At 49.4% G+C, this 22,478-nt stretch overlaps 2 protein-coding genes, 2 long non-coding RNA genes and 1 other non-coding gene across 20 annotated transcripts in view, besides 9 other annotated features; 1 reads left to right on the top strand and 4 right to left on the bottom strand.

The window, feature by feature from the left end:
- GHRLOS (ghrelin opposite strand/antisense RNA) lies at positions 790 to 13,287 on the bottom strand. Of its 6 annotated transcripts, NR_073566.1 has the most exons (7): positions 13,237 to 13,287; positions 12,005 to 12,100; positions 10,636 to 10,718; positions 8,386 to 8,491; positions 6,758 to 6,825; positions 6,133 to 6,294; positions 790 to 2,171 (listed from the first exon to the last, which is right to left on the bottom strand). It is a non-coding gene; the product is annotated as a ghrelin opposite strand/antisense RNA (long non-coding RNA). The 6 variants fall into 6 exon arrangements; NR_024145.2 differs by lacking the exon at positions 6,758 to 6,825 and having other exon boundaries at positions 6,137 to 6,294; positions 11,944 to 12,100; NR_073567.1 differs by lacking the exon at positions 12,005 to 12,100 and having other exon boundaries at positions 6,137 to 6,294; positions 6,796 to 6,951.
- Positions 1,100 to 1,394: an enhancer, noted in NCBI's record as "tiled region #4342; HepG2 Activating DNase unmatched - State 5:Enh, and K562 Activating DNase matched - State 5:Enh". NCBI's record gives its function as "activates a minimal TATA promoter and a strong SV40 promoter by Sharpr-MPRA in HepG2 and K562 cells {active_cell/tissue: HepG2 | K562}" and the evidence as "EXISTENCE:reporter gene assay evidence [ECO:0000049][PMID:27701403]".
- Positions 1,100 to 1,454: a biological region, named in NCBI's record as "Sharpr-MPRA regulatory region 4342".
- Positions 1,205 to 1,454: an enhancer, noted in NCBI's record as "active region_19423". NCBI's record gives its function as "activates an Ori minimal core promoter by ATAC-STARR-seq in GM12878 lymphoblastoid cells {active_cell/tissue: GM12878}" and the evidence as "EXISTENCE:reporter gene assay evidence [ECO:0000049][PMID:35858748]".
- Positions 1,292 to 8,573, top strand: GHRL (ghrelin and obestatin prepropeptide). 11 transcript variants are annotated; one of them, NM_001302821.2, is made up of 7 exons: positions 1,292 to 1,397; positions 2,788 to 2,999; positions 3,249 to 3,523; positions 4,030 to 4,166; positions 4,361 to 4,477; positions 7,427 to 7,535; positions 8,345 to 8,573. In NM_001302821.2, the coding sequence occupies exons 4-7, from the start codon at positions 4,059 to 4,061 to the stop codon at positions 8,362 to 8,364; spliced, it is 354 nt and encodes a 117-aa protein (NP_001289750.1). In that variant the 5' UTR covers positions 1,292 to 1,397; positions 2,788 to 2,999; positions 3,249 to 3,523; positions 4,030 to 4,058; the 3' UTR covers positions 8,365 to 8,573. The 11 variants fall into 11 exon arrangements, 10 of the variants coding, with proteins under 10 accessions (NP_001289750.1, NP_001289753.1, NP_001289752.1 ...); NM_001302824.2 differs by lacking the exon at positions 2,788 to 2,999 and having other exon boundaries at positions 3,327 to 3,523; NM_001302823.2 differs by lacking the exon at positions 2,788 to 2,999 and having other exon boundaries at positions 4,364 to 4,477.
- Positions 1,465 to 1,534: an enhancer, noted in NCBI's record as "active region_19422". NCBI's record gives its function as "activates an Ori minimal core promoter by ATAC-STARR-seq in GM12878 lymphoblastoid cells {active_cell/tissue: GM12878}" and the evidence as "EXISTENCE:reporter gene assay evidence [ECO:0000049][PMID:35858748]".
- Positions 3,046 to 3,648: an enhancer, noted in NCBI's record as "H3K4me1 hESC enhancer chr3:10332275-10332877 (GRCh37/hg19 assembly coordinates)". NCBI's record gives its function as "activates a minimal SCP1, AML or CMV promoter by ChIP-STARR-seq in naive H9 embryonic stem cells {active_cell/tissue: H9 hESC(naive)}" and the evidence as "EXISTENCE:reporter gene assay evidence [ECO:0000049][PMID:30033119]".
- Positions 5,479 to 6,094: an enhancer, noted in NCBI's record as "H3K27ac-H3K4me1 hESC enhancer chr3:10329829-10330444 (GRCh37/hg19 assembly coordinates)". NCBI's record gives its function as "activates a minimal SCP1, AML or CMV promoter by ChIP-STARR-seq in naive H9 embryonic stem cells {active_cell/tissue: H9 hESC(naive)}" and the evidence as "EXISTENCE:reporter gene assay evidence [ECO:0000049][PMID:30033119]".
- Positions 6,960 to 7,254: an enhancer, noted in NCBI's record as "tiled region #7129; K562 Activating non-DNase unmatched - State 18:Pol2". NCBI's record gives its function as "activates a minimal TATA promoter and a strong SV40 promoter by Sharpr-MPRA in K562 cells {active_cell/tissue: K562}" and the evidence as "EXISTENCE:reporter gene assay evidence [ECO:0000049][PMID:27701403]".
- On the bottom strand, positions 8,493 to 9,820 carry LINC00852 (long intergenic non-protein coding RNA 852). The gene has a single exon (NR_026829.1). It is a non-coding gene; the product is annotated as a long intergenic non-protein coding RNA 852 (long non-coding RNA).
- TATDN2 (TatD DNase domain containing 2) overlaps positions 13,021 to 22,478 on the bottom strand; it is a 32,760-nt gene continuing 23,302 nt past the window's right edge. The window contains exons 5-8 of the mRNA NM_014760.4: positions 17,751 to 17,878; positions 15,777 to 15,960; positions 15,176 to 15,354; positions 13,021 to 15,018 (exon numbers count right to left, since the gene is read on the bottom strand). Of these exons, the coding sequence (NP_055575.3) occupies positions 15,214 to 15,354; positions 15,777 to 15,960; positions 17,751 to 17,878 (453 nt within the window). The 3' untranslated portion in view covers positions 13,021 to 15,018; positions 15,176 to 15,213. The remainder of the gene's footprint in view (positions 15,019 to 15,175; positions 15,355 to 15,776; positions 15,961 to 17,750; positions 17,879 to 22,478) is intronic.
- On the bottom strand, positions 13,787 to 13,888 carry MIR12127 (microRNA 12127). The gene has a single exon (NR_162141.1). It is a non-coding gene; the product is annotated as a microRNA 12127 (primary transcript).
- Positions 22,159 to 22,162: a non allelic homologous recombination region, noted in NCBI's record as "NAHR recombination sub-region b, recombines with the LTR12C recombination sub-region within the 3p25 BRK1 Alu-mediated recombination region". NCBI's record gives the evidence for it as "EXISTENCE:nucleotide sequencing assay evidence [ECO:0000219][PMID:19280651]".
- Positions 22,159 to 22,478: part of a biological region, named in NCBI's record as "3p25 TatD DNase domain containing 2 Alu-mediated recombination region", that runs on past the window's edge. NCBI's record gives its function as "recombination_partner: LOC107303338 | LOC107303339".

Here is a 22,478-nt window from a genome sequence, read left to right as displayed (position 1 = left end):
GTGAGAGAGGCAGAGCTTGGCGAAGAGGAGGGATGAGAGAGCATGGCTAAGGTCAGGGAGGATTTAAGAGCGATGGCCGCCTATCTAGAATGAGCCGCATGTGGCTGCTGAGCATTTGAAACATGGCTAGTCCAAATTGAAATGCACTGTAAGAACACACACTGGATTTCAAAGACTACACATCTGTAATCCCAGCACTTTGGGAGGCAAAGTCAGGCAGATCACTTAAGCCAGGAGTTCAAGACCAGCCTAGGCAACATGTCAAGACTCTGTCTCTACAAAAAATACAAAAATTAACTGGGTGTGGTGGTGTGACCTGTAGTCCCAGCTACTTGGGAGCCTGAGGTGGGAGGATCATCTTAGTCCAGGGAGGTGGAGGCTGCAGTGAGCCATGATAGTGCCACTGCACTCCAGCCTGGGTGACAGAGCAAGAACCTGTCTCAAAAAAATATATATGTATATTCATTTAGACATATGCTGTTGCACACTTAGACTATAGTATGGTATCAGCATACGTTTTATATTTACTGGGAAACCAACAAAATTCGTGTGACTTGCTTCATTGTGGTCTGGGACCAAAGCTGTAATGCCTCCAAGGTATGCCTGTATATTTCTATTGCAAAATGTGAATCTCGAAATTATAAAAGCTACAACTAGGACAAAAAGCAACCCCACCAAATAGCCCTATATCAAAGAATAAAATCTCTTTCTAGAACCCCAGAATTTGCCTCTTTCAGACTGAAGTTTAGCCAAATCTATGAAAAAAGAGCTTGCTAAACCAACTAATTATCAGTACAAATAAAATTATAATGAAAAGTCTATGAAGATAATTTGTTCTCAGATGCCCTTCACATATAGCAATTAATTCACAAATGATGAGTCACTCATGTGCCTTCATGAAGGCAGGCCCTCAAGAGACCCGCAACAGAAAGGAAAGCCACCGACTGGAGAGAACCTGCTTCCTGAGCCCCACCAAGTTCCAAAAAGGAGAATGGGGCTTCGTCCTCACCCTCAAGGAGTTGCCAAACTGGGCTTGGTTATTATTCACACTTGAAAAGAATGAGGAAGGTCAGCCAGTCCCCTCCAGGTCGCTCGGGCTTCCTCCAAGCTCCTCTTGGTTCAAATTTGCTGTGTCCTCCAGCCGGCATCTCTCCTCTGTTCCGTAACTGACAGGGCAGCGAGGTAGCTTCCGGATGACTCCTCCCGCCATGGTTCTTCCGTCCATCAGCTCTTCCTTCCTCAACTCTGTGGTATGTGGCTAGGGGAGTTTCCAACTCCCAGGGGACATTTCAGTTCCCCAAAGATAACACAGCTTTGCACAGTGGATGTTTACTTGCTGGTGGTCTTATCTAAGATCAACATTGGCAGCTGTGCCCGGAGAGGCCTCCAGGGTCCAGGTAAGTGGAGGCTTCATGTCTCAGGAGGTACCTGGTCACCACAGTTAGGATTTTTCTGTTTGGGGATTTTTTTTTTTATGGGTTGGTGGCTCTGAAAAAGCTGCAAGTCTTCTCTGAGGACTACAGACCTCTCTCCACCCTCTCCACATTCAGCCTCTCTGGGCTCCAGGGCCAAAAGATGTCTACACTCAGGTGGCAGACAGGCCTGTGAAGACCTCCTGGTGACATGCTCATATGTTGCTGGGACTAAAGGTGGGATTTTAGCCACCACAGTGGGTTGGTGGTGAGATGTTTACCAACAGGAGGTACTTTGTCCCTCATGTCCACTTAAAGATTCAGTCCAACCCGGCCTGTGCTTCTGCTGTCCCAAGAGACTCTAGAAAGCTCCAATCCTCCCTGAGGTTGATCTTTTAAGTCAGGGTAGGTGGTCATTCGGCAATCAACTGCTCTACTGCCTCAATGTCCTCCTCACTGGACGTCCTGCCCCAATTCCATCCTGTTCAGCGCAGACTGATTTTCCTGGAACACAATGTTCATTATGGAGCCAGATGGCATATCAGAAAGAGCACTGTATTAGGAGTCAAGAGATCCATGGGGGAATCCCAGCATTGCCCCTGATGGCTGTATAGCTTTGGGGAAAGTGAGGCCCTCTTGGCATTCAGTTTTTCTTCCAGCGAAATAAAGGATTCAGCCTCCCAGAGCTTTAAAGTCTTTCCAACTCTTTCATTCATTCTATGGTCTCTCTCTCCTCAAGAATCCTCAGTGGCTGCCCTCCTGCAAAAAAAGCCCAAACTTCTTGGGCTAGCAGTTCCCAAGGCATCCATCACCTGGCCCCAAACCACCTTCTTATGTTTTTGTTATGACCCCATCGCCACCCTCCCCCAAGCCACCCAGCCTTCTCCATGCTGCCCTGATGTACTCTACCCACGCCTTCACCTCCCCTCTGCTTGCCGCAAAGCCCTCCCTCCAAAGCCCTGCCCCGAGTTCACCACAGGCCTCTTTCCTGGAGCCTTTGCTAACATCCCTGCCGCAAGCCCCAGCCTAAGGTGAGCTCCTCTCCTGAACTGCTAGAACTTCTCTGCAGACAACTCATTGGCCCTTAGGGGTTCCTGCCTGGGCACCCAGTTGGATGAAGCACTCCAGAAAGGAAGAAATTCCTGGGGCCGAGGGAAATGAGGCAGTGGCCTTGGCCTATGCTGGGAAGTCCTATGGGCCTGGTATGAAACCATTGTCATCTGCAGGGTGTTTCACAGGTTAGAAGCCACTTTCCCCCCATCGCCTCATTTCACCCTCAAAGACTCTGGGTAAGGGGAATTATTTGTGGTCGGCGTAAGGCCAGTCAATGAGAGAGGAGCCAGGCCCGTGCTAAGCGTAGATCTTCCACCTCCAGGTCCAATGCACTTCCCTCTCAGAAGAGGCATCCGCTAAAATAGGGACCAAAGCTGCTGGAGGGAGGCAAGGCAAGCTGCTATGTGAAAAAACGCCAGGCCAGGCAGTCATGTCACACCTGGCAGAAATGACTGAAGCATAGCCACTGGCTGAAGTTATCCCCACACCCACTCTCTGGAGAGGATGATCAGGAGCAGTCTGCTCAACCGGGAGGTGGGACTCCTCCTCGGGAAGGTGTAGAATCACCAGCCTGGCTCCCTGCGGACTCCCGGGGCTCACAGAGGCCAGAGCAGCAACAGCACATGGGAAACAACGGGGCGCTGGACTGGGGAGGTCTCAGAGCTCTCCTAGTGATGACAGCCTCATTTTACCCAGGGAGAAAGGGCGAGTAAGCTAAGGTCACACAGCAACAAAGCTGCACCCAGACCCCAGAGCCACTCTCCTCCCTCCCTCCTCCACCAGGGCCATGCCCACTTGGGGCACCCCGCCACCGTGTTCCAGGGACAGCTGGAGCACATGCTTCTTCCCTCGCCAACCCAGCAATTCCGCAGGGCATCTGACCTCCACTGTTGACTTCTACCCAGAGGACAAGAACATTTTTAGTTCCCAAGGAATGTACATCAGCCCCACGGAAGCTAGGCCACCTCTGGGATGGGGTTGCTGGTTTAGAACAAACGCCAGTCATCCTATATAAGGACCTGACAGCCACCAGGCACCACCTCCGCCAGGAACTGCAGGTAAGCTCTCTCTACTCTCCGTGTGCGTTTGCTGACAGGTTTATTGTCCGTGACTGCTGCCCGTCCGTTTAACCTCTCTGGGCCTCAGGAGTCCCCTCTAAACACGGGGGATGTCGGACTGTCTGGCTGGAAGACAGAGCTTCATTTAGGAGCTACCTCTAACCCCCTCCCTGCTGAGTGCCCTGGGGCCCTTGCTGGTTCAGCTTCCTCCCTCCTCATGAAAAGACTCGCCATGAGCTCTCAGAGCCTGGGACAAAAGGCACCGGGGAGGACCCCCAGCCCCTATCAAGTCCTGCTGCCAGGTGTTCTGCCCTGAACGGCCTTGGAGAAGAGAACACACATCCATCATCTTCTACCTTGGGAGGTGGAAGCGGGGGTCCTCTCTACACAGCAGTCAGGACCCCAGATGGTAAAGCCCTTCACGCCATCTGCTGGGCTCCTACCTGAGCAAGCTCAGAGGCACATGAGAAGGGGAGGCAGCTGCCTGGAGACCCTCTCTCCCCCAGGCCCACCTGTCTGCAACCCAGCTGAGGCCATGCCCTCCCCAGGGACCGTCTGCAGCCTCCTGCTCCTCGGCATGCTCTGGCTGGACTTGGCCATGGCAGGCTCCAGCTTCCTGAGCCCTGAACACCAGAGAGTCCAGGTGAGACCTCCCCACAAAGCCCCACATGTTGTTCCAGCCCTGCCACTTAGCAACCAGCTCTGTGACCTGGAGCAGCAGCGCCATCTCTGGGCTTCAGTCTTCTCCCAGAGCACAAAGGACTCTGGGTCTGACCTCACTGTTTCTGGAAGGACATGGGGGCTTAGAGTCCTAAACAGACTGTTTCCCCCTTCCAGCAGAGAAAGGAGTCGAAGAAGCCACCAGCCAAGCTGCAGCCCCGAGCTCTAGCAGGCTGGCTCCGCCCGGAAGATGGAGGTCAAGCAGAAGGGGCAGAGGATGAACTGGAAGTCCGGGTCGGTACCTCTGCAGTTTTATGCTTCTGTGGCAGCGAGGAGGGTGGGGTCAGGGGAGAGGGAGGGCAGGGAGAGGTGGCAGTGAACAGGGTCCCAACTACAAGCTCCCCAGAACTATAAAACCAGTACCACAGGAGTTGAGCTCTGCCCTGGGCTCTGTGAGGTCTTTACCCATTAAGAGAAAAATATCTAGAAGAAGTAACTTTGCTACAACAGAATAGGGACGGAAGGAGCCTGGGCAGAGGAGAGAGGGTGCCAGAGCCTCCAGGCGACTCAAAGGGGACAGAAAATACAGTGCCCAGAGACAAAGACACCCAGAAATAAACGGCAGGCCCAGACTGAAGATGTTGCTCTGCAGAAAACCATGTTTTACTCAGGGGCTTCCAGGGCCTGGACTGTGGGGTGGAGTGCTTCCGAACAGCACCCTGGATGGGAGGGCTGGCGCCAGCCCAGGCTCCGGCACCCACTCACCTCGCCTGGAGGCAAGGAGGGGGCAGGTGTGGGTGATGTGCTCTGACAAATCGTGCGTGGGGCAAGGAGAAAGTTAAGACAACCCAAGGATGGAGAGGAGGAGGGAGTAAAGGATTTTACGGGGTTTTCTATGCAACCTTCCTGTGGCTGTGGTTCAGGGAATGGTTTCTTCTAAATATTTGGTTGGTGACACCATTTCGCAGCTAAGGCAGGATTCCCCCAAGGTAGCACTTAATAATGGCAGCTATTAGACGCTGTGCCCGAGGATACCAACTTCACCTCTAACTGCCCCACCTCCTCCCTACGACAACCTGTGAGGTAAGCAGGGCTGGCATTACTCCCACTTTAGAGCCAAGGAACAGTTCAGAGGTGAACTCACTTGCCCAAGGTACCACAGCGGTGTGTGGAAGGGACGCGACACAAGGTCAGGGCTGACTCCAGTCCCCAAGCCCTCTTCCTCCTCACTGGTCTGATGGACAGAGACAGCGCACAGTGGCCCAGGGGAGGCCTCTTCCTTCCAGAGGAGTGAAATGTGCCCGCCTTGGCCTCTGCCTGCCTGTTTACCATACTCTTCTCCAGTCGAGGAATAAAGCCGTCGGAAGCTCCCCCAGCCCCTGCTCGCTTTCATCCTCACCAGCACCTGGCGGTGTTCAGACCTTTCCTCTACACGGTGGGATCCACTAGATTCTCATCTGAAAGAGCTGCATACCCTTAGGCCAAAACCAGGATATTTTGCTGGTGAGACGGCTAGCTCCACACATGGTCATCCCAGCCAGAGGAGCTGCCCAGTACCCAGATGAGAAAGAGGTCTTGGTGGCTGACGACGCAAGGTGGGGCTGGTACAGCGGGAACTTTGCAGTTTCTGTGAAAGCTAGCCTTGGAGCATGTGACCCACACTGCCTTGGCTGGAACCAGAAGTCAAACGCCTGGGGGGTGTTGGGGCTGCCAGAAGAGGAGTGGCTGCAGAGACCTGGAGCGCCCCACTACCAAACCCCTCACAACCGAGTGTCCCACCCACCTCTCTCATCTCAGGCCCCTCTACCTCCCCCCAAACGTTTCCCTCCCAAAATCAAGTTTCAGAGTAGAAGACTTTGGAGACCAAGTCCCACTCCCATTGAACAGATGGGCCACTGAGGCCAGGAGGGAAGCTGCCCCCCACCAGCCAGCACTGTGTCACCACTCACTTGCCTGCACCACAGCGCCAGGTGTTAGGCCAGGCCAGCAGTTTCCCAGACCGGTGCTCCTGTTTCCTAAGATGTCTGCCAGGTGATCAGCCACCCCGCATTTGCCTCAGCGGTGGAAGAAAAACAAGTATTTACTGGAGGGAATGGAAGGCCCCAACTCTCCTTAAAAAAAAAAAAAAAAAAAAAAAAAAATTCAATCATGTCATTCCCCACTGGGTCCACCTTCATGGTGGAGTTAAGGGGAGGGAGATTTCGAAAAGGGAACGCATAGCTATTGGTTAATAGCTTCTCTGCGCCTCTGTCCTCACCTGTAAAATGGGCACAGTGGTAGCGCCTACCCCACAGGGAGGCACTGAGGACGCCTGGCCTCACACAGAGGAAGGGCAATAGGACTAAAGCAGTTTTCAGGGCCAAGTGGGTTTAAAAGTCCTGCATTCTAGTCCTTGGCCTCCAACTCCTTGGGCTTCTACTGTGAGGACCAAATGACCCAGCACTAAGATCCTTCCCTGACTCAGATAAGTCAGTGCCCAATATGGCCAGGCACCGAGGTAGCCACTGGCAGAGACAATCTCTGCTCTCAAGGAAAGTCTGCCATGTGGCTGCAGCAGAGCTCCTTCCCACTTACCCAAAGCTTTGAGCTCCAATAAATCATCTCAGGAATACCTGGAAAATGGAAGAGATGAGGCGCTCTCCCTGTAGAGGGGAAGAAATGGAAGCACAGAAAGGACTTGGCTCAGAGCCTCTTTCTAGGAAAACATCAACTTCCTTTTGATTTTCCAGGCATCAAAGAAAGGTCTATGCATATGAGAGAAAAAATACCTAGGGAAGGAGAAAAAGGAGAAGAAACAGACAAGAGAGAAAGGAGAAAGAGCTGGGAGCAGGGAAGGAATAGAAGGCCAGCAGGCCAGTGCTGAGAATGCTGGGCAGACCCCCTGCCAGGGCCTGAAATGCTGCCATTGGTGACTCAACCTTTTGTCTTCAAAACTGCAAGGGAGAAAAAAAATCTCACACTAGGGGGCACCACAGCTTTTATCAGCAATCCCATTAGAGGCTAAGGCTGAGAGGCATGAGAGTGCAAGGTAAGTGTCTGAAAGATGGTGAGTGGGAAGGTGAGCTGTGGTCCTGAGAAAGGAAGAGAACCTGGCTGAGGTGTCACTCAGCAGTCCCTGCTGGGGCCCAAAGGCCATTCTCCCTCTCCACTCCTGAAGAGAGGCAGAGAGCCCAGAGCCCCCTTTGAGATGGGGATGGGCATGACCTCTGACATCTCCTGGGTCCTCCCTGCCCTGCCTCCTAGTTCAACGCCCCCTTTGATGTTGGAATCAAGCTGTCAGGGGTTCAGTACCAGCAGCACAGCCAGGCCCTGGGGAAGTTTCTTCAGGACATCCTCTGGGAAGAGGCCAAAGGTGAGTCCTGCCTGGACTGGGTTTGCTCGGTTTCCTTGCAGCCCCACATGGGAGTTCACTCTGTGGGTGATGAGTTTTCCCCAACCTCTGCCTCTCCAAAAGAACTTCTAATTTCCCTTTCCCAAAGATCTGCAGGATAGTGGTTGGCTAGTATTTGTGAGTGGCTCAGAAGGGAGTTCATCATAGTCTTTGTGTTCAAAGAATGTTCTAAGAACTAGTACATTAACTAGCTTTGGGGCCTCAGTTGAACCTCAGCTTCCTTAACTGTAAAATGGAGCTATTTTACCTATTGTGAGAGTCTACAATTATTTGGTGTTACACCGTCTTCACTGCGTAACTTTACTCCACAAACAAAAAGGAATTGGTGCCAAAATAGCACTCAGAACAGGTTCTGCAGCCTGTTAAGCAGTTCCTTCAAATATTAGAGCTTCCTGAGTTAAGCAAAGGGTTTGCTTTGAATCCCCTCACCTTGTAAAAGAAAAAAAAGAAACCGCCCAACTGATTGAGGTGGCAGAAACACCTGCACATCTGCAAAGCACTGTCCTCACCAAGGCGGTGACCCGTCACCCCTGGGGAACAGCAGGGGTAGCATTCACCCCGCTGTGCAAACGAGGAAACCAAGACTCAGAGCTTTGAGGTGACTTGCCCAGGGCACAACAGTCCACACTTGAGTGCCGCCCTCTGACTCCAAGGCCAGTGCTTCCCCACAACCCCCACCATTACATCCCACCTCCAATCTCACCACCGTGGAAGAAAAGCACTAGCAGGACGGTGCACCCAGCATTCTTACTCAACCTCTTGCTTTCCAGAGGCCCCAGCCGACAAGTGATCGCCCACAAGCCTTACTCACCTCTCTCTAAGTTTAGAAGCGCTCATCTGGCTTTTCGCTTGCTTCTGCAGCAACTCCCACGACTGTTGTACAAGCTCAGGAGGCGAATAAATGTTCAAACTGTATGCTGATGTTCCAAATGGGAATTTATTTCAAAGAGGAAAAGTTAATATTTTACTTTAAAAAAATCAAAATAATACAAATAAAAATAATTCTTGGTTTATGGTCTGTGGGAAGGGAATAAAAGGACAAGTAGCAAGGCCAATGTGCATGTTTAGAAAACCTAATCACACCAGCTCACTCAAGCAGAGAAGCTACTGCATGTGCATGCATTGTGTGGAATTAAGACTGGGTTTCTTAGAGAAGGAGGAGAGAAAGGGGGAGAGTAGGAGGGAGAGGGGAAAAGGAGGAGGGAGAGGAAGAGAAAGAAGAGATAAAGTGGGACTAAGAGAAAGAGGGAAGAGAGGAAGAACAAAGACACAGTTCCTTTAAACATCAGGGCTTCCTGAGTGCAAGGCTGCATTAACAGCTTATTAACAACCAGCCAGGGCTGTGTGGACAAAGAAACTTCAGGATGACATTATCGAAGCCAACATCCATTCAAGATTGGAGAGGAAGACAGGAATGCCCAAGAGTGAATCTGAAGTTAGACGTTAAGTGAGGTGCCCAATCACGGCTCTTGGGCACTGCTAGACAGCACTGAAAGAGCTGCATTCTCCTTCCTCCCTTCTCCACTACTGAGAAGGCCTGACAAAGCAAATGCCTCACATGGGCAAGGCTGGCCGTCGCCATGGTTCCCTTACTGATACCAGGTGGGATCCCCAAACATTCCCTCAACTCCAGTTCACAGCAGACACGAGCCTTGACTCTTATGTTCCACAACTTAATTCCAGTTACGACACTGGTCTTCCCGGGGGAAGGCCACTCGGTCATGCCCACCTTAGCCTAAACATGTGGACTGACTTGACTGTAGGCAACGGATGGGACACATCGCTAAGGGGAGGGAAAGGCAAAGAACGAGGTGGCCCCAAAGAGCAGCACCACAGACTTGCCAATTCAGCCATCTGAGCGCTTGTGGGAAACATGCAGGAAGCCGTCTGCAGAGACAGTTGGGGTAATGCCCACACTCTGGAAAACCCCTACCACAGAGGGTGCTAGGAGCCGAGCGTCTCCCCAAGTAAAATTCTGGCCGCCACACATGCAGGCACTAACTACTGATCAGGTGCGGCAGGCAGACAGAAACCCAACTGCTCTCCCTCACATAGAAGCTGTGGTCTGTGAATGCCACCGTCATCCAGGGACTCTTAGAAATGTAGAATCTTGGGCAGCACCCCAGCCCTAATCTATCAGGATCTGCATTTTAACAAGATCCCCAGGCTACTTAGTAAACGGCTGATGGGAAATGGCTTAGAATCCCCTTCCCAGGCGTCACAGCACACTGCAGGCCCCCTACTCACCCCTCCACCCTCAGACAGCCATGCCCCTACCTCCCCAGGCACCTGGCACAAGTGGGTACAGAGATCAACACACTTGTCCTGGAACTTAACTGTCTCAGCTCTGTCACTTAGTTGGGATACGACCTTGATTATCACTAACTGCCCACAGCCCTCTTATCAATAGCTACAGAAGAGGAGCAAAGGCCCAATATGGCCAAAGTGGTCAGGAGATGGTTTCTTTTTGAGAAAGCACCACTGATTGGGCTTGGGAGAGGATGGGTACCAGGCTCTGGACAAATGCTGGTCACCTGATGCTTCCCCCACCAAAGACAAGAACTTACTTCTCTCTCAAAGAAATCACAAGCATTATTAACCGCCTGCCTGGGTCATTCAAATAGAAACAGATATTGCGCACCCACTATGGGCTGGGCACTCTCACCTGTGCCAGGCAACAAGGTGTAGTGCAAAGATCTGGGCTTTGGCCTCGGACCTGAATTTGGATACCAGCTCTGTGATCCAGGCCAAGACTGAATTTCTCAGGCTCCTCACATGTAAAATGCCTACCTTGCTGGGTTACTGCCAAGACTGAACATGAGGTCTCACATGAGCTGTAGCTGGCAAAGGGCCCGGCACGTAGCTAAGCATTCAATTACTACAGCAGCCAGCACTCACTGTCACACCCCTGATGTACACCAGGCACCGTGTTAAATGCTCATGCAGATTAATGTGATTTCACTTCATTTTCACAGCAAGCCTACTTATGAGGGAGAAAACTAAAGCTCAGAGAAATTAAGTAACTTTCCTAAAGCACACAGCAAGCACGTGGCCGACTCACAGCCAACGCCACAGGACTCAGGGGCTGCTTTTTCATCCGGTTCCACAGCCTCTCAGCCAGTGCAGCTTCCCTCGCTCTACTGCCTAGGATGAGAGAGGTTTCCATATTCATTCATTTTCCTTCAGAATACACTGGGTGAACTTGGTAGAGGGGTGAGGACAATTTCAAGTCAACAATGGGCAGAAATATAATTTATCAAAGAAAATGGTTGGAGGACACCCTTGAGAAAATGTATTATTTCAAACATGTTCCTGTATCAGCTTTCTTAAACCCACTCCTTTATGGATCGTTTAATGATACCACTGTAACTTGAGGGTCTCTAAAGTGGGGTGTATGTACCCCTAGGGTGAGCGAGCTATTTGCTGGAGAAAAAAATTCTCCTTGTGAAAAAACTTTTACTTTGTGTATAATTAGCATAAGAGCACACGTATTTAAGTTCTCATGCACTTATAGTTGTGTGTTCAGAAATCATCTTGAGAGAGTGCACAGAAAAGGGTTGAGACGCCTCAACTAAGCTACCCACCTTAATCTGAATCCACCTACAAATGTCACTGGCATTTGGGGGGCCGAGGCAGGTGGATCACCTGAGATGAGGAGTATAAGGCCAAACAGGCCAACATGGCAAAATCTCATCTCTACTTAAAATTTAAAAAAAAAAAAATTAGCCAGTCATGGTATTGGGCGCCTGTAGTCCCAGCTACTCAGAAGGCTGAGGCACGAGAATCACTTGAACCTGGGAGGTGGAGGTTGCAGTGAGCTGAGATCAGGCCACTGCATTCCAGCCTGGGCGACAGAGTGACACTCAGTCTCAAAAAAAAAAAAAAAAAAAAAAACCAAAACCAAAAAAAAATGTCACTGGCAAATGAGCACTTTTTAATACAGTGATCCTGAGAGGGACTGGCTGGCCACTAATCACCATCTTTGACAGAGTTTGCTTCTTTAATCACTGTACATTCCGGTGGCCATTTGCCCTTACTTTACAAAAATGAACAAAGCAAAATTAAGGTGCTGAAAGCAAACGATGAGTATCGGTCTCAAGCTTCCTATAGAAAGATGGAAAAACAACAGAAAAGCCAAGAACAGTCACAAGGACCATCACTGAGTGGACAAAGCCAACTGCACATTCAACTGTGAAGGAAATGAAACAAAGTTCAGGACGATGCCAAAAATACATAATCAATGATTGTATCTAAAAGATGAGGCAGCAACAGAGACTTCAAAGGTGTTCAGCATTCTTGGAAGGAAGAGAGCCTTTCTTTTTATGCGTAAGTTTACTTTTTTGGCCGGTGCACTTGTATTCAAGAATACCTTAGTACAAAATAGGAGGGCTGAGTGCAAGTAATGAAACAGAATTTCCTCCAGAGTTTACCCAGAGGCATCAGGAATTCACAGTCCAACGCCCACCATCCAACTGATTCATCAGTACCCCCAGGGACTAGATTTTTCTTCCTCCTACAGCCTTGAGCTGGAAACAAAAAAAAAACAAAAAAAAAAGAAAAGAAAGTACCTACATAGGTCAGAAAGAAGCAGTGCATCTGAGTTCCCAGACAGTAAAATTACTTAACACTCTAAGGCTGTAGAACTTTAAGAATTCTTTTCTGGGGGGAGGCGGGGGGAGGGGAAAGACAGAGTCTCGCTCTGTCACCCAGGCTGGGGTACAGTGCTGCGATCTTGGCTCACTGCAACCTCCACCTCCCGGGTTCAAGTGATTCTTCAGCTTAAGCCTCCCGAATAGCTGGGACTACAGGCGCGTGCCACCCCACCCAGCTAGTTTTTGTATTTTTAGTAGAAATAGGGTTTCACCATGTTGGCCAGCTTGGTCTCGAACTCCTAACCTCAAGTGATCTGTCCGCCCTGGCCTCCCAAAGTGCTGGGATTACAGAAGTGAGCCACCATGCCCGGCCGAACTTTAAGAATTCTTATATGCAGTTTAATTTTACAGAGAGCCACATAGATACTCAAGAAAGTCTCCAGCTGGCCGGGCGCGGTGGCTCACGCCTGTAATCCTAGCACTTTGGGAGGCCGAGGCAGGTGGATCACGAGGTCAGGAGATCGAGACCATCTTGGTTAACACGGTGAAACCCCGTCTCTACTAAAAATACAAAAAATTAGCCGGGCACGGTGGCAGGCACCTGTAATCCCAGCTACTTGGGAGGCTGAGGCATGAGAATGGCGTGAACCCAGGAGGCGGAGCTTGCAGTGAGCCGAGATAGTGCCACTGCAGTCTGGCCTGGGCAAAAGAGCAAGACTCCTTCTCAAAAAAAAAAAAAAAAGAAAGAAAAAAAGTCTCCAGCTACCTGGATTCTTGGGTTACAATGCTGGCCAACAACCAGACTAAACCACTGCATCACTCAGGTAAGTCTATACAAACACGGAGAGACTGGGTTGGCTAGAGGATCCATCACTTTATTTTCAGAAAAAGATGGCCAAAGAGGGGAAAAAATACAGAGGCATTCCCACAGCACAGTGAAAACAATTAGCCATCCAAAAAGCTGAATCAAAAACAATGCCAATCAGCTTTCACGCCCACACAGGTGAGGTTTCACTGTGCAACAGCACATAAATGATAATCTAAATCCTAGAGAGAAAAGTAGATAGCACCTTGTGCTTTTCCTTGGCAGGTGGATGGCACAGGCTTGGAGACTTCCATGTCATCTCCGCTTTTCCTCCTCTAACACAGGGCTGGTTGGTTTCACCTGCAGGCACTACTGACTTCAGGGCTTGCTGGAGAGGAGATGGTTGTGCTGCAGTTCACTTGGTGACTATAAACACTTTGATATGCTCGGCAGTCCCCCAAGTCTTCCAAGCAGGAAATCAGGTCCCCCCCGACTTCCCACATGGGCCAATCTGCAGCACAGACAACATAACAGCACAGCTAATCCGTGAAGACGGACAGTGAATCAAGGCTGAGTTCCAGGCCAGTGACTTGTGTACCAGGGGCAAGATGGAAATGCCAGATAGGAAATATTAAATCCATTCCATTTTAGCTCACAAGGCTCAAATGCGCCTTCCAAAAACACCTAGAGGAATTTAGGATTCCATAAGGGATGTATTTTACAATTTAAGCCTCCAAGACCACAGACGAGGGACTCCAGGTGATCTATCCACCTCACTGCAGATCAGGGTGAAGGATCCTTTGAAACAAAGTACAGTCTCCTCTCACTTAACCCTGGACCATTAGAACCTCTAGGGCCTGTAACGAGTATACCTTTACAAGGCACCAGCAGGCGGCAGAGCAGAGCTCAGGACTTGAGATGACTCAGTTGCTCAAAAGGTGAAGGAGAGGCTCTCACTTCTAAAACGCAGAAAGACAGGACACAGGAGAGGCAAAGCCAAGGGGGCACCCAGGAGATGCGGGAGAAGGACTGGTACATTTGCAGACACCAGGCCTGCTTATTCTGCATAGACAATGTAACATGGCTGAGCTGCCCAGCAGAGCTTCGGAGAATTACGCTGATTCACCTCTCAACCTGGGCGGGGTACACAAAGGACTGTACACAAGATGAAATGAGGATTATTTTTGGTCAAATGTTCCCAAGAAGGGGGCAAAAGTGAAACAAAAGGAGGCTGGCAGCCCCTGACACAAGACTAGCAGGTAGTTTCCGCCGCAAACTGAACCTTATCAGCTTAACACACCCACACAGCAGCCCTGAGGGCATCAGTGAGGAGGAAGTACCTCCTTTGGGGTCCTCTTCCCCAAGAAAGCCTCTTCCCGGAGTCCCCCAGTCTGTCCTGGATCTCCATCATGGACAATGAGTGCTCCTCTGCACCCCCCCATATCAATGGCAGTGGAACCAATGAGACCAGCAGCTGAAGTCCTTCTGCCTGTGCCGACGCTGGAGTTGACACCAGAACAGTGACAGTCAAACTGAAGAGTTATCCAGGGAAGGGAGGAGGACGACTTCACTGGTTGCAAGAAAATAAACCTCCGAGATAGGTGTCCAGTTAATTTCCCCCAAAAAGTTTCCCAGTTGGAAGTCTGTTTTTAGAACCGAGAACCAGGAACTGAGTTACACACCCACATGTGCTTAGACAAGTAGGCGGGTGACTTTATTCACCAACTACTCAAAAACAGGCTGCAGAGAACAGAATTTGGACTGCCAAACTCACTGTACCCTCATATCGCACTCTTTCTTCTTTGCTGCCTACCCTGGAGCATTTTGGCTGGGAGGCAAAATCCCAGTGCTATTACAGGCAGTCCCCATACCCCTCATTCCATGCCCACCCCACCCCACCCACCACCCAGAAGCTGAAGCCTTATGACCCGCTTGGAGGAAAACATCCTGTCCTGGTTTTCTGTGTTCCAATCAGCTCTCTAAACACATCCTCGACCTGAGACACAGACTTCAAGCCAGCCTGTGTTCTGTCAGGCTGCTGGTCGCCCTGGAGGGTGGAAGAGAAAAAGAAGAAGGTTCCAAACCATGTCACTCAAAACAAATCAGGCTTAATGCTCATACTATGTTTATATTCTTTACATTAACAAAATGCAACAAAAGACTTGTCCTGGTTTTTAAAAAATACAGAATGTGAGTTTTACGACCTTTTCTAGGAGACTCCCGAGGACTGTACCTTCTCTGCTTAAAGACTGTAGAGGCGACTGGTGTTCTCACGCAAGGCAGCCAAGGTGAGGGAGAGTGGCTGATCTTTGACTCTGGCAATCTCTCGGACCGTATGCAAGGCCAGGCCCGGGTGGGCATACTGGCAAAGGCTTTTGGGAACCTGGAAGACATCAAGTGGTCATAACATCATTGTGCCATGTGTGCACAGTCATAATCTAGAACTCCCTCCCTGTCCCTTCCCCAGCAAGGACCTCTTTGGGGCTGCCCTGTAGAGACCCCTTTACCTGCAGGTGCAGGGAGAGTCCTAGTCATGGGGGCTCTGGGTGAGCAGGGTCCCACGCTTCCTTGGACTACCCTCTACAGGGTAGGGCTTTGCACTGCCTGGAAGAGAGTGGTTACCCTTCAGCTTCTCAGCCCCCTAGACTTTTGGTTCTGCAGAGTAACAGCAAGGAGGCATCTACACAGCCCAGGATGGGACCTGGAAGTCACTGGGGCTCTGGCCCTGCCAACCTTGTAAGGGTGACCACCCACCTCCCCACCCTCTCCCTCCGGTGCCTCCACTCAGCCTGAAGACCCCCTTACCTGGCGAGGGAGGAAATAGGGAGCATCCGTTTCCACGATGATTCTCTCCAGTGGGATCTGCCTCAAGGCTTCCCGGGCCTCCCAGGCAGAGGAGTATGTCAGCACTGCCGTGAAGCCCACAGACATGTTGGGAAAGTACTTCAGCAGGGGCTCAATGACCGGGTAGCTGCCGGTGAAGCAATGCCTGGAGACAGAACTCCACATCAGGGCTGCTCACAGTCCCCTCTGCAGCAGCCCCCAGCTCCCCCCACACCCATCACCCCTTTTCAATGATTCCCAGAAATGGAAAGACTGCATCCTAGGGAAGGACTCCACAGTAAACACAGACAAGGGCTGGCTCCAACACAGGAAGCCCCGAGATGGCACTTGGTGAGTGATCAGAGATCACTCAGAGATACCACGCACACCACAGAGTGCTCTGCAGTCCCCTGAGATGACCACCACAGAGAACACACTGGGATAGGAAATGCTTCTAACACTGAAGAGGAGCAAAATCAACAACTGTGGCCCCTATGATGACAACGACAGCATATAAAAACTATGCCCAAGTAGTCAAATGAACTGAAAGGAAATCTAACAAAATACTGGGGAGTCGAACTACAGGTGGATTTTCTTAATCTGATACCTGTTCATGTTCTTGGTGCCATATATATAGTTACCAATCTGTAAATTTAGGGCCTCCTCCTGCAATACCACCTCGTTGGGTCACCTTAGCCCTGGCCTACCAGCCACCATTACATTTCCTTCAAAGTTAGCCCAAAATGAAGTAATGAAAAACCAACCGACCCAGAAAAGCCAACTGACTGCCTCATCATTGGTGTGTGCAGCAGCCAGGGGTCAGAGGCTTCACTCATTCTGCTTAGGTACCCAAAGGCCCTGACAGCCCCATCCTCCTTTTTCTGCCATCTGACAAGACCCGATTTGGGTGCTAGAGTCCTTGTTATTCAGCCAACCCCTCTCAACCATCTTTAAGGAGCCGGCCAGGCATCACCTCCTGAGTCTTCTGGCTGGGCTATGATAATGGGCCCCTGCTGTGGCTCCCACAGCACCTATGACCACCCAGTCCCACATGCTATGTAGGCAGAAGCCACCATCCAACCTGTCTCCTGGCAGCACCTCCAGATGTCCCCAGAGGCAAGCCAAAGCCCAGGACCTACACGTGGCAAGAGTTCAGAAGTTCAGAGAGTTTACCAAACTGAACTTAAGCACCCATAGATGCCATTCTGATAAAACATGACCTTGATTTTCATAACTGGGGAGAAAGGAGCTTTCAAGTTCAAAAGAGGAAAGAAAATGTCCTTTCAAGTACCCTAAGATGCTCTGTGTGCTAAGCCACCACACCCCACAGCAACCTCTCAAGATCAGCAATCCTCACTGCTGAGAACTGAAACTCCATTTCTGCCCATCCCCAGGATGGGGGCACAAAAGGCCCCTTGTGCTCACTGGTGATTTAGGGTTATTAGTTCAAACCATACGAAGTTACTATTTTGTGAGCAAAAAAAAAAAAAAAGGTCAAATATGAGAAATTTCAAGTGGTTTAACCTAATAGTTAATTCTTTAGAAAAGATAGTGTATAGGCCGGGCACGGTGGCTCACGCCTATAATCCCAGCACTTTGGGAGGCCGAGGCAGGCAGATCACGAGGTCAGGAGTTCGGGACCAGCCTGGCCAACATGGCAAAACCCCGTCTCTACTTAAAATACAAAAACTAGCTGGGCGTGGTGGCATGTGCCGGTAATCCCAGCTACTCAGGAGGCTGAGGCAGGAGAATTGTTTGAACCCGGGAGGCAGAGGTTGCAGTGAGCTGAAATTGCACTACTACACTCCAGCCTGGGCGACAGGGTGAGATTCCGTCTCGAAAAAAAAAAAAAAGAATAGATAGTGTATAATGACAGAATACGATCATTGCTGTCCTCATCAACTTGACAGAGGAAGTGTTTCTTTCATTTGCCCGCTGAAGTTCCAGTCTTCTAACCTATGGATCTTGTAGTCAGGGGGCACAAACTTTTTCATGATTTCTAGCAGATCTTCATCAGCTTCTCGGCAGTGGATCACCAAGGGCTTCTTTAGAGACACAGCCAGCTGCAGCTGTCTCTCAAATACCTAGGAGAGGACACAGCGACAACCCCTGTTGGTTAGCAGCACTTCAGAAGTCCATCACCTCTGGAACGCCCAGTCCAGCAGGCACCCCCTGTGTCTCTCTTTTTTTAACTATATAATGTAATAATAGCTAATGATTATTGGTCACTTACAATAGAGCCAGGTAGTGCCCAAAGCACTGCACGTCTATCATAACCTGCAGTCCTCACAACCACCCTGAGGCAGGTGCTGCTGTCTGCGCAGCATGCAGTGAGGGCAAGTTAACTTGCAGCCAGCAGCTATAGCACCAGGATCCAAACTTGAACCCTGGCATTCCACACAGTAACCACTATATGATGCCGACCTGGGGTGGCAGGGGCAGGGCAGGGATCAAGAACATAAAGCGCAAAGTTAATGTCCCTCACCTCACTGTCCCCACCTCCGCTCTCAAGAGATACCAACTTCCAGACCTCTCCTATGCAGAGCTGTTGGGGACGGCAGGGCGTGGTGTTTGTGTGCATCTCCAGCAAGGTGCCTGGCTCTCAGAAGGTACTCAAATATTTGTTAAAGAAACAAATACTACACTTATTTTCTACAACTTGCTTTGTTTTTTTTTGTTTTGTTTTGTTTTGTTTTTTTGAGACCGAATCTTGCTCTGTCGCCCAGGCTGGAGTGTAGTGGTGCAATTGCAGCTCACTTCAGCCTCCACCTCCTGGGTTCAAGCGATTCTCCTGCCTCAGCCTCCCGCGTAGCTGGTATTACAGGCAGGCACCACCTTGCCTGGCTAATTTCTGTATTTGTTTGTAGAGATGGGGTTTCGCCATGTTGGTCAGGCTGGTCTCAAACTAACCTCAACTGATCTGCCCGCCTCAGCCTCCCAAAGTGCTGGGATTACAGGCATGAGCCGCCATGCCCGGCCAATTTGCTTCCTTTACTCAATCAAAATCGCGTATCCTCGCAGGTCAATAACTACAAATATACTTTACTCTTTATAACACTACCCACTTTTAAATCTTCACTATTGTTAATTTAAATGAAAAAAGTAGAGTTAGGACCTGTTCTTTCCTCTAACGAGCCCAGGTTTAGAACAAAGAAAAGTATTAATTCACCAGGCGTGGTGGCTCACACCTGTAATCCCAGCACTTTGGGAGGCCAAGTCGGGTTTGAGGTCAGGTGTTCAAGACAAGCCTGGCCAACATGGTGAAACCCTGTCTCTACTAAAAATACAAAAATTAGCTGGGTGTGGTGGCAGGTGCCTATAATCCCAGCTACTTGGGTGGCTGAGGCAGGAGAATCCCCTGAACCTGGGAGGCAAAGGCTGCAGTGAGCTGAGATCATGCCACTGCACTCCAGCCTGGACAGAGCAAGACTGTCTCCAAAAAAAAAAAAAAAAAATTAATTCATTATAAGCAAATTACCTCATATTAATGTTTCCATGAGTAGTTTCTACAACTGTGGAACATAATTTGTGTTTATGTTTTCAGCATCAAACAATGAGATACTTTTTGTAATTTGAGTCAGGTGATATTCACTTGAGAATATTTACAAGTCTAACACCTGTACTGCCTCTTCTCAAAATAGCAACACTAAGCCAATACCAATTCTGATGTAACTTTTGTTTAATCTGTGTTTTCAAAGAAAGGAAAATGACCACAGACATCAAAATTATAGACTGCTTGACAGAGGCTTTATCTAAAGCCTGGCCAGTTCCACTATCAATAGGTGGCTGGAGCCCCTCCTATTTGCATCTGCTAAGCTGTTCATCTGCCCTCCCCGACCCCTACACACAGGCAGCAGAGGTTTCAAGAGATTCCAATTCCAACATTTCATTCCTGCCTCTAAAAAATTATCCCTCAGAGTAGTGAAATAAACTATTAGAGCTTTAGGATAGAATATTACACAGCTGTTAAACATTTTTCAAAGTATAGCTGATGAATGGGAAAATTTCACGAGTAGAAAAGACACTTAAAACTATTTAATTTCCTAATTTCTTTCTTTAACACAAGCACACACATCCAACCTACGACAGGTGCATGGAAGACAAGCCACTGTGCAACTGTTCCTTGCAATTGTATTGTACCTTGCAATTTTCCAAGGAACAATAACATTACATTTATAATGTTTCATGAAACACATCCAGATTTCAAAAATGTTAAGAAGGAAGAAGAACTCATTAGAATGCAGGAACTTGTGGTTGGACAGGAGCTATTTGCAGCATTTGTCCTCACCAGGAACCCAGCTGAAAAACAACAGGAGTGAAGGAAGTACAGATGAGTTATTACCCAGTATAATTACTCACTTCTACCTGCATAAGGTTGGCTTCCTAACTGATCCATTATTTCCAGGGATTCCAGAGTTAGTCTCTCCTGGGAGTTGCCCCAGGCATCTCTTGCATATTTATTACTTTAATAATTAATTAATTCCTCTTTAACACAAGTAAAGAGATACAGCCTGGGTAGGGAAGGACAGTCTACTCTCCCTGGCATCCCTCCCAGATGCTGACATGTGCAACTTACACACAAACTATTCAGGATCTAACTCTTATGAGTTACATAGTTAATCTGTAAACACCACAGATCAACAAAGAAAACGTTAACAGTAATTTGCTCTAACCAGCAGAATAACTATAACTACCCATTCTTTCCCCAATTGTTTTGCTTTTCTCTATTTTCCAATCCTTCCAGAAAATTTTAGGTACATCAACCAAACTCTCCTATAATGAGCAGGGTCTGTCACCCTATCATCTTGCCCAGATACAGACCTTCCACAGGCTCTTTTTTTTTTTTAATGTAATAAAGATGGGGTCTCACTATGTTGCCTTGGCTCATCTTGAACTCCTAGGCTCAAGCAATCTCCTGCCTCAGACTCCCAAAGTGTTGGGATTACAGGCGTGAGCCACCTCGCCCAGCCCTCTATAGGTTCTTCTTCTTCCCTTCACAAGATAAAACATTCAGCAGGACACATCCAGAACTTGCTAACTGCTCTTTTAGGTAAATGCAACTCAGCACTGACATCCAACTAGGTGCAGTTGCCAGTCACCACCATTCACCTCATTTGGGTGCCAAATTTTTTATTTACATCAAAACAGTGTCCATATCCCCCACCCAGCCTAGGAGTCTCTGGTGTTGACAAATATTTTCTAGTCTTCCTCCCCTTTACAGGCAGCTTAGCCCTCTCCCAGCCAGCAACTCCTCAGACTCATTATCTTCCAGTCTTGAGTCAAATCTCACCAAGCCAAATGACATCTTCAAGACTGTGTTTATCCCCCTATGCCTATCGCTTCTAGTTCAGTTTGTTGTGCAGGTCGCCCCATGGACCTTTAAGTGCAGACCTGAGACCCTGATAATTTTGTCTTGAGACAGGGTCTCACTCTGTCACCCAGGCTGGAGCATAATCATGGGTCACTGCAGCTCAACCTCCCAGGCTCAAGCAATCCTCCTGCCTCAGCCTCCTGAGTAGCTGGGACCCCAGGCATGTACCATCACACCCAGCTAATTTTTTTTTTTTTTTTTGGTAGAGATAGGGTTTCACCATGTTGGCCAGGCTGGTCTCCAACTCCTGGCCTCAGGTGATCCGCTCGCCTTGGCCTCCCAAAGTGCTGGGATTACAGGCATGAGTCACCACACCCAGCTATACCCAGCTAATTTTTGTATTTTTAATAGAGACGGGGTTTCGCCACGTTGGCCAGGCTGGTCTCCAACTCCTGGCCTCAGGTGATCCGCCTGCCTCGGCCTCCCAAAATACTGGGATTACAGGTGTGATCCTGTAAATACAAAAAATTAGCTGGGCGTGGTGGCGGGAGTCTATAATCCCAGCTACTCAGGAGGCTGAGGCAAGAGAATCGCTTGAACCTGGGAACTGGAGGCTGCAGTGAGCCAATATCATGCGATTGCACTCCAGCCTGGCCAACAAGAGTGAAACTCTGCCTTAAAAAAAAAAAAAAATTAGCCGGGTGTGGTGGCAGGCACCTGTAATCCCAGCTACTCAGGAGGCTGAGCCAGGAGAATCACTTGAACTGGGGAGGTGGAGGTAGCAGTGAGCTGAGATCGTACCGCTGCCCTCCAGCCTGGGTGACACAGCAAGACTCCATCTCAAAAAAATTTTTATTTTTAATTAGCCAGGCGTGGTGGTGTGCACCTGCAGTCCCAGCTACTTGGGAGGCTGAGGTGGGAGGATCACTTGAGCCCAGGAGGTCAAGGCTGCAGTGAGCTGTGGCTGCACCACTGAACTCCAGTGTGGGCGACAAAGACCTTATCTCTGAAAAAAAAAGAAAAGAAATTCTAAAATACTACAACTCTTACCCTGCCAAAGCACTATGCTCAAAAAATATTGGGAGGAAAAAAAATATTAACAGGGGGCGGGCGCAGTGGCTCAGGTCTGTAATCCCAGCACTTTTCGGACGCCGAGGCAGGTGGATTACTTGAGGTCAGGAGCTCGAGACTAGTCTAACAAACATGGTGAAACCCCACCTCTACTAAAAATACAAAAATTAGCCACGCAAGGTGGCACACACCTGCAGTCTCAGCTACTCGGGAGGCTGAGGCAGGAGAATCGCTTGAACCCAGGAGGCGGAGGCGGAGGCGGAGGTGGAGGCCGCAGTGAGCCGAGATCGTGCCACTGCCCT

Source organism: Homo sapiens, chromosome 3 (assembly GCF_000001405.40).
Source record: "Homo sapiens chromosome 3, GRCh38.p14 Primary Assembly".
In the NCBI taxonomy this organism is placed as follows: Eukaryota; Metazoa; Chordata; class Mammalia; order Primates; family Hominidae; genus Homo; species Homo sapiens.
The sequence above is the reverse complement of the archived record's forward strand: the minus strand, read 5'-3'. Positions and strand labels throughout refer to the sequence as shown.